Here is a 13458-nt window from a genome sequence, read left to right on the forward strand (position 1 = left end):
AAAAAGAAAAAAATAAAATGAAATCATATCCTTTACAGCAACATGGATCCAACTGGATCCCATTGTTTTGAGTGAATTAACACAGGAATAGAGAACCAAATACTGCCTCACCTCACTTATAAATAGAACCTAAATATTGTATATTCATGGACATAAAGATGGCAACAAGAGACACTGGAGACTACTTGGGGGGAAGGAGACAGGGAGGGAAATAAGGGTCAAAAAACTGTTGGGCACGATGTTCACTACCTGGGTGGCAGGATCATTTATACCCCAAACCTCAGCATCATGTAATATACTCAGGTATTCATAGTTAAGATAAGGGGGGAAATATATATATGCATACATACACACACACACACACACCCAAGTAACAAACCCGCACATGTACCCCCTGGATCTAAAAATAAAAATTGAAAAATTAAGAAAATTTGGTTTAAATATACCATAGACTACTACTCAGCCATAAAAAGGAATGAAATAATGTCTTTTGCAGCAACTTGGATGGAATTGGAGACCATTATTCTAAGTGAAGTAACTCAAGAATAGAAAACCAAATATCACATGGTCTCATAAGCGAGAGCTGGCTATGGGCACAAAAAGGCATACAGTGGTATAGTGGACACTGGAGATGCAGAAGAAAGGAAGGAGGGAGGGGGTGAGGGATGAAAAATTATCCATTGGATACCATGTGGACTATTCAGATGATGGGTAAAATGAAAGCCCAGACTTCACCACTATAGAATTTATCCATGTAACCAGAAACCACTTGTACCCCTAAGAATTCTATTAAGTATTCAATAGAATTATGTCAAAAAAAAAATACAGATCTTAATTGTAAAATACTTTATTGCTTAAAAAATGCTAATGATCATCTGAGCCTTCAGTGAGTCATAATCTTTCTGTTGGTTATTGCCTCAATGCTGATGGCTCCTGACTGATCAGGGTGCTGGTTGCTGAAGGCTGGGGTAGTTGTGGCAATTTCAATAAGACAACGATGAAGTTTGCCACATTGATTGACTCTTCCTTTCATGAAAAATTTCTCTGTAGCATGCAATGCTGTTTGATAATATTTTACCCACATTAGATCTTTCAAAATTGGAGTCAATCCTCTCAAACTCTGCCACTGTCTTATCAATAAAGTTTATGGAATATTCTAAATCCTTTGTTGTCATTTCAACAATGTTTACATCATCTTCACCAAGAGTAGTTTCTATCTCAGGAAACCACTTTCTTTGCTCATCCATAAGAACTAACTCCTCATTCGTGCAAGTTTTATCATAAGGTTGTAGCAAACCGTCACTTCTTCAGGCTCCACTTCTAATTCTAGTTCTCTCAATAATTCTACCACGTCTGCAGTTACTTTCTCCAGTAAAGTTTTCAGCCCCTCAAAGTCATCCATGAGAGTTGGAATCAACTTCTTCCAAACTCACTAACATTGATATTTTTGATCACCTCCCATGAATCATGAATGTTCTTAGCAGCATCTAGACTGGTGAATTCTTTTCAGAAGATTCTTAATGGACTTTGCCCAGATCCAAAAGAGGATTCACTATCTATGGCAACTATAGCCTTATGAAATGCATTTCTTAAATAGTAAGACTTGAAAGTCAATTACTCCTTAATCTGTGGGCTGCAGAATCAATGTTTTGCTGGAGAGCATGAAAACAACATTAATCTTTACATATATCTTCATCAGAGCTCTTGGATGACCAGGTGCATTGTCAAGGAGTAATATTTTGAAAGGAATATTTTTTCTTTTTTCTTTTTGAGACAGAGTCTCACTCCATTACCCAGGCTGGAGTGCAGTGGCATGATCTCAGCTCACTGCAACCTTTACCTCCTGAGTTCAAGCGATTCTCATGCCTCAGCCTCCCAAGTAGCTAGAATTACCCAGCTAATTTTTGTATTTTTAGTAGAGATGGAATTTTGCCATATTGGCTAGGCTGGTCTTGAACTCCTGACCTCAAGTGATCTGCCCACCTCAGCCTCCCAAAATGCTGGGATTACAGGCGTGAGCCCCCATACCCAGCCAGGAATCACTTTTTTTTTTTCTATGCAATGGGTCTCAACAGCAGGTTTAAAATATACATCAAACTATGATGTAAACAGATGTGTTTTTATCCAGGCTTTGTTGTTCCATTTATAAAGGACAGGCAGAGTAGATTTAGACTAATTCTTAAGGGCCCTGGAATTTTTGGAATGGTAAATGAGTATTGGTTTTAACTTAAAGTCACTAGATGCCTTAGCCCCTGACAAGAGAATCAGCCTGTCTTTGAAGCTTTGAAGCCAGGAATTGACTTCTCTTCTCTAGCTCTGAAAGTCCTAGATGACATCTTCCTCCAACATAAGACTGTTCTGTCTACATTGAAAACCTGTTTCTTAGTGTAGCCACCTTCATCAATGATCTTAGCAGGGTCTTGCGGATAACTTGCTGCAGCTTCTTGCTGTACTTGCTGCTTCACCTTGCACTGTGTTATAGAGTCAGTTTCTTTCCTTAAACTTTATAAATAAATATCTGCTAGCTTCACATTTGTCTTCTGCAGCTTCTTCACCTCTCTCAGCCTTCATAGATTTGAAGAGAGTTAGGGCCTTGCTCTGGATTAGGCTTTGGCATAAGGGAAGGATGTGGCTGGTTTGATCTTCTGCGTAGATCACTAAAACTTTCTCCATATCAGCAATTAGGCTGTTTTGCTTTCTTGCCATTTTTGTGTTCTCTGGAGTAGCACTTTTAATTTCTTCAAGAATTTTTTCTTTGCACTCACAACTAGCCTGTTTGGCACAAGAGGCATTCTTTTCTGCCTATCTTGGCTTTCGACATGCCTTCCTTACTAAGTTTAGTCATTTCTAGCTTGTGATTTAAAGTGAGAGATGTGTCACTCTCCTGTCCACTGAACATTTAGAGGCCACTGTAAAATTATTAATTGGCCTAATTTAAATATCCCTGGGTCTCAGGAAATAGAGATGCCTGAAGAGAGGAAGAGAGAAAGGGGAAAAGCCAGTCAGTGGAGCAGTCAGAACACACACATTTATGTATTAAGCTTGTCATCTTAAATAGGCACTGTTCGTGGTGCCCCCAAACAATTATAATAGTAACATCAAAGATCCCTGATCATAGATATAATAATAATGAGAAAGTTAGAAATATTTCAAGAATTACCAAAATGTGACAGAGACATGAAGTCAGCACATGGCACATGCTGGCAGAAGAATAGTGCCAATAGACTTGCTGGACATAGGGTTGCCACAAACTTCCAACTTATTTTTAAAAACGCAATTATCTGTGAGGTGCCACAAGTGGAGCACAATAAAGTGAGGTATGTCCATGTTCCTCAGTTTCTTCCCAGCCCCTCTGAACTGAAGATTCATTTGAACAGTCTGTCGGAGGCCACCTCAAAATTAGCTGAGGGCACCACATCCTGCAGTCCAACCCAAGATCCTAGGAAATTCTTCATCAGCTGAAGCTCTAAGTCCCAGGCCCCTGCCAGGTGAAGAGTGTTTCACACAGTCTTCTCATGGGTATTATCATCTAGTCTGGGAGTGTGAACAAGTGCTGAGTGGATGAACTGGGAAAGAAAATCCTCACCTAGTTTTACAGGATCCTCGCCAGGCATCCAATAGCAGGAACAGAGACAGGATTTCCAGTGATTCTTAGAGAAGGGTAACTCACTCTGGGAGGAGGGAGGCATGCTTGGAGCCCACTGGCCTTCTTTCAATTTGTTGCCATCTTTGCTCATGCTCGTCCCTCTTTCTGGAATATCTGGAAGGTAGCACCTTCAGCTAGTTTTTACCCCTTATTTATCTCTTCAATTCCAGCCTAAGCATTCTCTCAGGGAATCTTCCCTGACCACCCAGTCTGAGACAGGCTGCTTTCCAGTACTGTATTTCTTTATTTCAGAAAAACTGAAATACTCAGTTTACAAATATGAAAAACTGAGTTTACAAATATGCATTCATCAATGTAATTCTCTGATATCTGTTTCCTCTACTATAACGTAAGCTCCATAAGAACAAGCAGCTGTCTGTTCTTGCCCAATATCTCGCACAATGCCAGATGTATACAGACTTAACAAATACTTGGTGAATGAAAAAATGAGCTCAGAGAGACAGAGAAGAAAGTGCCTAGATCACCGCAAAACTGCACAGAGTTGACAGATATTCTGAGGTTGAATGCACCACCATCCTGGCCCCAGGATTTTGAAGCTGAAGTGGTAATTGTGGTTACTCGTTCCACGCTCCAACTAGCAGGAAGCCCAAGCACTGCCGCAATGACGGCCGTCTAGACACTACCCATTCGCTCAACCCCAAGACGCATGTTGACTGCTATCTAGACACTACCCATTCGCTCAACCCCAAGATGCATGTCGACTGCAATCTAGACACTACCCATTCGCTCAACCCCAAGATGCATGTCGACTGCAATCTAGACACTACCCATTTGCTCAACCCCAAGATGCATGTTGAAATATTTATCACTTAATATCCAAATGGCCAGGGAATCCTTAGAAGAACTGTCTAAAGATAAATACAAATCCATTTTAAAATGCTATAAACCAAGTAACCTGGGCCATACGACATAACATGCCTACCTTAGAGAACGTCAAAGTAGACTATTAATGTAGAACAAAGGACTCCAATAATGCTAGCACTGCACATTCTGATCTTTCCCAGACATCCAACAAAGAAACAAGATGTCTGCAAACATTAAAACTTCCTAAAGCGTTTTCATATTAGTATTAATAACAGATGAAGTGCTGTGCCAGAGGAAACACTTGATTCTCGGAACTCTTGAAATGATGGCTGGATTGTGTGATTCATCGATAGCATAGCAAATCACAAAAGAGATAAAACATTACCAAAGAATGAAAATAATACATATTGCAAGATAAATACACATGGAATAGTCTGTATAGAGCCTGAGGAGTACTTAACACCCACCATTTAGCCATTCCTTCCAGCCACTGTTGTTGGCAGGGTAGTAAAATGTACTGGGCATTTTTGTGATTGACAGTTATATGGCTCTGCTGTTCTGATAGAAACTTTGAAAAGATATTTTAGAAAGGAGGTGCATACTATGATGAAAGAGCACAGGTTTGGAATTATAATGAACTGGACTTTCATTATAATTCCAATTTCAGCTCTGCTGCTTACCGGTGCTGTGCTATTAGGCCTCCATTTCCTCATCTATAAAATGGAAGTGATGTTACTTGCTTCACGGGGTTATAGCAGGAGTTGATTAACTATGACTCTTGAGCCAAATCTGGCCCACCACTTGTTTTTGCAAATAAAGTTTCATTGAAACACAGCCATACCCATTCATTTTCATGTTGCCTCAAGCTGTTTTCATGCTACAATAGCAGAGTAGTTATGACAGACCACAGGACCCACAAAGGCTAAAATATTACCTGCCTGACCTTAGGCAGAAAATGTTTGCCATCCCTTGCTATAGACTACACATGTGCGTTTTTCTGCCTAAAATAACATTTCCCTGTTTCTCCTCACCTAGCTAACATCTTCTCACCCTTCAGAGTCATTTTTTAGAGCAACTTTCCTTTACCTCCTAGATAAAGTTAAATCTGTTCCTCAATGCTCCCATAGCAACACTTTGGATAAGACTCATCACGTTTGTCAATACTGTTCTCCATCTGCCTTCTTAACTAACCTGTTAACTCCATAACAGTAAAGGTGATGTCTGCATCCTATATCCTTTCTTAGAAGATTCCAGTAAGTATTGCAGTTGGTTTCTACACAATTCTACCCCTTCATACTACTACCCCATCTTTGGCAGACGTTCTTGGCAGTGGTCAAAGTTTTATCTAATACAGAAAAATTCCAGTTCAAATGAAAGGTATTCAAATGGAGAAGCCTTCAAAGTCCCTATTGCAAATTAACAATGGTGGATTGTGGCAATCAATCAACACTGTCACTGTGAATCTGCTTAAAGGGCTCTTTCTAGGACCTAACAAATGTTACCAACCAATATTTATCAAACATCTACTCTATAAAGACATTATTTAGGTACTTTGGTGAATACAAAGAAATATAATCCATTCTGCCCATTTTATCCTAGGGCTGCATTCTGAATTCAGATCATAAGCCTAATATTTCATATTGAACTTCTCTTTGGAAAGCAGCATACTAAAGATTAGCAAACCATCTCCCAAAAAGCCCAACACCATCATATTTTTTTTCATTTAATAGCAGATTAAAACTTCCATGGTCTGGAATACTATACAGCCATAAAAAAGGATGAGTTCATGTCCTTTGTAGGGACATGGATGAAGCTGGAAGCCATCATTCTCAGCAAACTATCACAAGGACAGAAAATCAAACACCACATGTTCTCACTCATAGATGGGAATTGAACAACGAAATCACTTGGACACAGGGTGGGGAACATCACACACCGGGGCCTGTTGGGGGCTGGGGGGCTGGCGGAGGGATAGCATTAGGAGAAATACCTAATGTAAATGACGAGTTAATGGGTGCAGCAAACCAACATGACACATGTATAACTGTGTATCAAACCTGCACGTTGTGCACATGTACCCTAGAACTTGAAGTATAATAATAATAATAAAAAAGAACTTCCATGGTCAAGGACCAGATAAAAAAGCCAGCCTGCTTTTAGGGGGCACTACATGTGAAAATATTTAATTTTGAGTGCCAGAATCATGTCCAGTGTGGCAAGGGGGGAGACATGTAATAACTGAGACCAACTCACCAAAAAGAAGATTCACATCATCCATGTGACCTTCACTCTGGGAAAATTTCCACTAATAGAATGAGGAGTGGAACTGTCCACACAACTTAAGTTGCTCAGTCAAGTGCTCTCTCTCTCTCTCTCTCTCTCTCTCTGCACCCCGCAAACACATACACAACCAAATGTGCATACTTTAAATAAATTATATGTTTCTATGGTATGACTCCAACTCTGCTCTACACATCTCTTCCTTCCTCTTCTAGTTAGCTACCAGTGCAGAACAAGTTACCCCAAAACTAGAGACTCAAAGCAATGCTATTATCACGTTCATGATTTTGTGAGTCCACAATTCAGGAAGAGCTTAGCTTGGGGTTCTGGCTGGGGATCTCTCCTATATTGCAGCTGGATTTTGACTGGGGCTGAAGTTGTCTGAAGGCTCAATAGGGCTGATGTCCAAAATAACTCACTCATAAGGCTGGCAGTTGATGCTGGCAGTAGGCTGAGAGCTCAGCCAGGACTGTCACTCAGAGCATCCCCACATGGCCTCTCCATGGGGACTGGGGTTCTCTCAGCATGGAAGCTGGATTCTGAGAGAGGAAGTCCAAGAAGCGTGTCCAAGAGCAAGGGTTCCAATAGACTTGTTAGGAAGCTGCAGGCTTCCTCCTAGCCAAGCCTCTGAAGTCACACAGGACCACTCTGCACATCCTACTGAATGCAAGTAAGCAACACCAGCACAAACCCAAGGGGAGGGCAATTAGACCTCACCTCTCAATGGGAGAGAAAATTGTGGCTTTTTTTTTTTTTTTTTTTTTTGAGACAGAGTCTTGCTCTGTTACCAGGCTGGAGTGCAGTGGCGCCATCTTGGCGCACTGCAACCTCCGCCTCCCGGGTTCAAGCAATTGTCCTGCCTCAGCCTCCCAAGTAGCTGGGACTACAGGCATGCACCACCACACTCAGTTAATTTTTGTATTTTTAGTAGAGATGGGGTTTCACCATGTTGGCCAGGATGGTCTCGATCTCTTGACCTTGTGATCTGCCCACCTTGGCCTCCCAAAGTGCTGGGATTACAGGCGTGAGCCACCGTGCCCAACCATTTACGGCATCTTTAATCAGCCATCTTCCACATGGATAACGCTGTTCCCACTCTCATCTTTCCCAGTCTCTTAAAATAATTTGTGACCAATTACCCCCCAATACACACACATAACAAAACCAAATTTATGTATACACCATCATAAAAGGATTTTTGATCAAAAATATCTAAATAATAATGTATCTAAACCACACTTAGAACTCAGCCAAAACCTCCACACCTGCAATGCCCATGCATGCCCAATTCAGGCCTCAAAAAGAGACCCATGCTACAATTATATCACCAGCTGTAACCAGTTGGTTGCAGGGTACTTAGAAATTTATCTGTAGGTGATGCTGGCTGAATAATAACAGTAGCATACAGGTCTGTAGAGATGGAATGAATGTGTGTGGAGAGTGTGTTATCATTTTCAAGGTGCTTTCACATTTCACTACCAACAGCAGGCATGAGTCAGAGGCCTCCCAAAAGCATAGCCTGAGATAAGGATTTGGTTACAGAGTTTATTTGGGATGTGATCACAGGGAGCATTTTAAGGGAGAGTAAGACAGGGAATAGAGGCAAACCAATAAGAGCACATCGATGAGGAGCTACCACTGTGGGCAACTGGAGCTCATTCCCACTGCGTGTCTCTGAGATACTGCATGGAGCACATCTCAGGGTTCCCCACTGAGCAGGGAGGAGGCTGCCCCAACTCCCTCCCCATGTTAGTTGGGGTAACTCATGGTACATTAAATCCTTGGCACTTCCAGTTATTAGTCTGCTCTCATACTGAAGTGAAGAACTGCCCAAGACTAGGTAATTATAAAGAAAAGAAGTTTAATTGACTCACAGTTTCACATGGCTGGGGAATCCTCAGGCAACTTGCAATCACCGTAGAAGGTGAAGGGGAAGCAAGGCACCTTCTTCACAAGGCAGCAGGAAGAGAAATGAATGCAGGAGGAACTACCAAACAAAAAACCATCAGCTGCAATGAGAATTCACTCAGTATCACGAGAACAGCATGGGGGAAACTGGTCCCCATGATTCAATTACCTCCACCTGGTCTCTCCCTTGATGCCTGGGGATTATGGGGATTTTGGGTGGGGACACAGCCAAACCGTATCACCCAGCTTTGCAGCCTGCCATACACATACACTGAGCACCCTCCCAAGGCAAGGCCCCCCCTTCCCGCCACAGGAGAAATACACAGATAACTGTCAGTGTACGGACAATGGGATGAGGGGTGGAGGGACACCCACAGTGTCTGCTATGCTGTGTTAAGAATTCTGAATCTTATCTTTATTAATTCCCACAAGGGTTCTGTTGTTATACGTTGTTGCTATCTCCATTTCACAACTGAGACTCAAAGAGACTAATTAACGTGTCCAAAGCCACACAGCAGATACTGGTTAGCCTAATTCCACCCTCTATACTAAGCTGCATCTGAAGGCCCAGAGAGAGTAAGTGACTTGGGTGGAGCCACCCCATACCCATCCACACCACAATCAGAAATAAAAAGCATCATGACCTCCGGCTTGTCACCACACTGTGTCTTTTGGTCATCTCACACTGAGCTCCATGCCCTCCAAATGCAATGTCGTGAATAGCTTAACCAAAAACTTTTACATATTTTTTGACTCGGCAAAGCAGACAATACATGCTGTAAGTCAAAACACATGTCATCTGTACTATACATTAAGAATTGGGGCTGCTCTTGGTACCCCCAGCAGCATGGAAACAACCCGGAAGGAATCTCCTCAGCAGAATTAGAATGTGCTTTGGATGCAGAGAAGAGAAGGGTTACAGAGCACAGATTCAGCCAAGTAGAGATATCTCGAGGGCTTTGCCTTTCCTGGAATTCTACTTACAAGTTGTAGTACTGGCTCCACACAATGGAACTGCAACCGAAACAGAATTTCTAAGCAGCAGCCTGAGTCAGGGAGATGAATGTTTACTAAGACAAGGCTGGACCCTGGGCAGGGATGGGCATGGAGCTGTTGGGGCTTGTACAAGAGAGTCCTGCTGGACCAGAACAAAGTTGAGCAGTTGTAAAACGAATGAGTAAACAGTGGTGGAAAAGAACTAACATTTTTTATGCAGTGGCTAAGTATTCAGTCAACTCCCCTGGACAGACTTCATATCACACCCACTGTAAAGGTGAGTCTGTGATGATGAGTCATTTGAATGGGTCACACAGCTAGTAAGATCAGAGTTTAGATTTAACCCTTCCCAGTGTGCCAGACTCCAAATTTCATTCCATTAGGCCTCATGACCTCCTTCATGTGTTTAATGAGCTCCTACTGTATACTAGATTAAGTAAGCCACACGGTGCATGCCTAGCAGATAGGACAGCAACTTGTTAAATGTTTGTACTCAGGGACTAGCACAGTGCCTGGCCCTGAGAAAATTCCTTTGGGGTGGCCCAGGATTTCATAGGGGAACAAAACCTGCATGCAGAGGGAGATGTATGTAACTGTCATTGGAGTGTTTTGTACAAAGGGTTTCCAGGCATGAGTAATCACGTGGGGGCTTCCACAGAGAAGCTGGATCTGAAAGGAGGTATGGCAATTGCTGTGCTAAGGAGAGAGGAACTCTCAGTAGAGGGACAGAGACGCATACTCAGGAATGGGCATGACATAGGAGACAGCAAGCAGACGGATATGTCTGGCTACAGTTTGTGGTTTGCGTAAAGGAGAAGCAGGAGAGAAATGTAGGAAGGTCAGCTTTGTTTATACCTATCCTTGAGTGTCAGGTCATAGACTTTGGAAGTTTTAGGAAATAACAATGAAATTGAACAGATGCTTCATGTGTGCCAGACGCTGTTCTCATAATCTACGGCAGGATTTCTCAGCCTGGACATGACTGACCTTTTCAGCCAGATAATTCTCTTTTTGTGGCGCCCTGGGCATTTTGGAATGTTTGGTAGCATCCCTGGCCTCTGCCCACTAGATACCAATAGAACCTTTCCCCCAGCTATGACAACCAAAGCTGTCTCCTGACATTGCTAAATGTCCGCTAGAAGGCAATATCACTCCCTGTTGAAAGCCACTGCTCTACATATATTCAGTCATTCCATTTGTATGACTCTGTAAGGTAGTTAGTATTAACTCTATTTCACAAGTGTGGAAACTGAGGCATGGAGAAGCTATGTAATGTGCGTAGGTTCAACAGGCTTATAAGCAGCACAGTCAAGAAACTCTGCCAGAACTGATTAATTTAGAGCCCATGACCTTACTCACTATGCTGTGTTTAACATGTCAAAATATTACATTTTAAAAGTGCTGCTGGGCACGTTGGTTCATGCCTGTAATCCCAGCATTTTGGGAGGCCGAGGTGGGCAGATCATGAGGTCAGGAGTTTGAGACCAGCCTGGCCAACATTGTGAAACCCCCTCTCTACTAAAAATACAAAAATTAGCCGGGTGTGGTGGCTCACACCTGTAATCCCAGCTACTCCAGAGGCTAAGGCAGGAGAATTGCTTAAACCCATGCGGCTGAGGTTGCAGTGAGCCGAGATCCCGCCACTGCACTCCAGCCTGGGTGACAAAGCAAGGCTCCATCTCGAGAAAAAAAAAAAAAGAGTGCAAAATGCAGTAAGCCCTCGGCTTACAATTATGTAAAATTTGTATGAAGTTGCATGACAACCGGTGACAGTGCACAAAAACATCGTCATCATCAGCATCAAAGGTTTAAAATCAGAGAGGTCGAATTATGGGAGTTTCATTTTTTCTTTAATGGTGTTAAAGTCATATTTTTAAAATATAAAAATATACACTTTAAATTTTTTAAATGTATTTTTAAATATAAGTGAAACATTTGATGGACCCTAGGCAATACCACTAACCTTATTTCTCCACCCGTTTTCAAGATTAATTGGCTAAAATCAGTTTGCTGCCACTCGTTGTTCTGAGACTCAGCTCAGGCATTACCTCCTCCTGCAGGAAGTCCTCTCTAGCTACTCCACTTCTACCTCTAGAGTGGCTTCATGTGCTCATTGTTACTGCAGTCAGAATAGCATCCTAATTTCCTTAATTTCCTTAACACCCTAATTTCTTTTTTTTCTTTTTCTCTATTATACTTTAAGTTCTGGGACACATGTGCAGAACATGCAGGTTTGTTACATAGGTATACACGTGGCATGGTGGTTTGCTGCACCCATCAACCTGTCATCTACATTAGGTATTTCTCCTAATGCTATCCCTCCCCTAGCCCCCTGCCCCCCCGACAGGCCCCAGTGTGTCATGTTTCCCTCCCTGTGTCCATGTGTTCTCCTTGTTCAACTCCCAGCACCCTAATTATTTCTTACTCACTATGCCTTTCTCCCACAAAACTGTGAGTTCTTTAATGCTAGAAAAAAATTCTTTCAATAATTTAATCTCCAACTACCAACATGTCTGGCATAACAGTGAATGTGCTTGAATGAATGTTTGTCAAATGAATAAGCAAGCACAGTTTTGAGGAGTCCAGGGTGACAGGCCCAATCCACTGGACAGCACAGTCACTGAGCTCTGCTCCCAGGCCATGGCTGAGCCTCACACTCCAGCCTGAGGACAAAGCTCAGTGAGTACCATGAACACAAGTGACATAGGGAAGGAGAATGGGGAGGTGTCGATATCTTTCTCCCAACAGCCCTGCATGGCCTCTCATTCCATTAGATTCCACACATCTGCCTTTGGATAGTGTATTAGTCCATCGCACTGCTATAAAGAACTACCTGAGACTGGGTAATTTATAAAGAAAAGAAGTTTAATTGACTCACAGTTCCACATGGCTGGGGAGGCCTCAGGAAGCTTACAATCATGGCAGAAGACAAAGGAAAAGCAAGCACCATCTTCACAAGATGTCAGGAGAGAGTGAGCGAGGGGGAAGCTGCCAAACACGTTTAAACCATCAGATCTCATGAGAACTCACTCACTATCACGAGAACAGCATGGGGGAAAAGACTCCCATGATCCAATCACCTCCCACCAGGTCCCCCCCTCAACACGTGGGGGTTACAATTCAAGAGGAGAGATTGGGTGGGGACACAGAGCCAAACCATATCAGATAGAAACAGAGAAAAAGCAAGAAAGTGAGACTAAAAGGGGAAAAAAATTCAACCCTTTGTTTAATACAATACCTGTGTCTGTGAGGTCCTCTTCAAACATTCAGAGCAGTATGTCCTGTGTCTCTAATGAGGAGCACGTCAGGGTCAAGAAGTGGGCTGTTCCCAATTAAACAGCAACGAACTCTAAAACCAAGTTCTACAATGACAGATTCTATTTCTCAAACAACTATAATTGATATATAAGTAACAGCTCCTTTTTATCAAATATATAATTCCCCAAATAATTACACTCTTTGTCTTTAATCCTCACAACAACCCTATTATTATCCCAGTGTCAGGCATCCGTCTGTCTCAGTTCCTTTATCTATCAAATTGGGATAACAATGACTGCTTTGTAGATCTCCACAACCATTAAATGAATTTATCCACATAAAGAGCTTAGAACAGTGTTCAGCATATAATAAGCACTCCATAAATGGTAGTTATTACTGTCTCCTATTTACAGATCAGGAAACTAACACAATCGGGATTCACACCTCTCTCTATCTTTGTCTGCCACTCTTCCCCCAGAATGATTTACCCATCAGGTTATGTATCAAAAGGGAAACTAGCAAAGGCTTGTGTCCAAGGCAGCTGG

The 13458-nt window shown here is 42.2% G+C and overlaps 1 long non-coding RNA gene across 1 annotated transcript in view; it reads right to left on the reverse strand.

Annotated features, from left to right (window-relative positions):
- SMILR (smooth muscle induced lncRNA, enhancer of proliferation) overlaps window positions 1-9693 on the reverse strand; it is a 154318-nt gene extending 144625 nt beyond the window's left edge. Inside the window, exons 1-2 of the long non-coding RNA NR_131202.1 lie at window positions 9644-9693; window positions 8626-8738 (exon numbers count right to left, since the gene is read on the reverse strand). This is a non-coding gene — a long non-coding RNA (smooth muscle induced lncRNA, enhancer of proliferation). The remainder of the gene's footprint in view (window positions 1-8625; window positions 8739-9643) is intronic.

Source organism: Homo sapiens, chromosome 8 (genome assembly GCF_000001405.40).
Source record: "Homo sapiens chromosome 8, GRCh38.p14 Primary Assembly".
NCBI classification, from domain to species: Eukaryota; Metazoa; Chordata; class Mammalia; order Primates; family Hominidae; genus Homo; species Homo sapiens.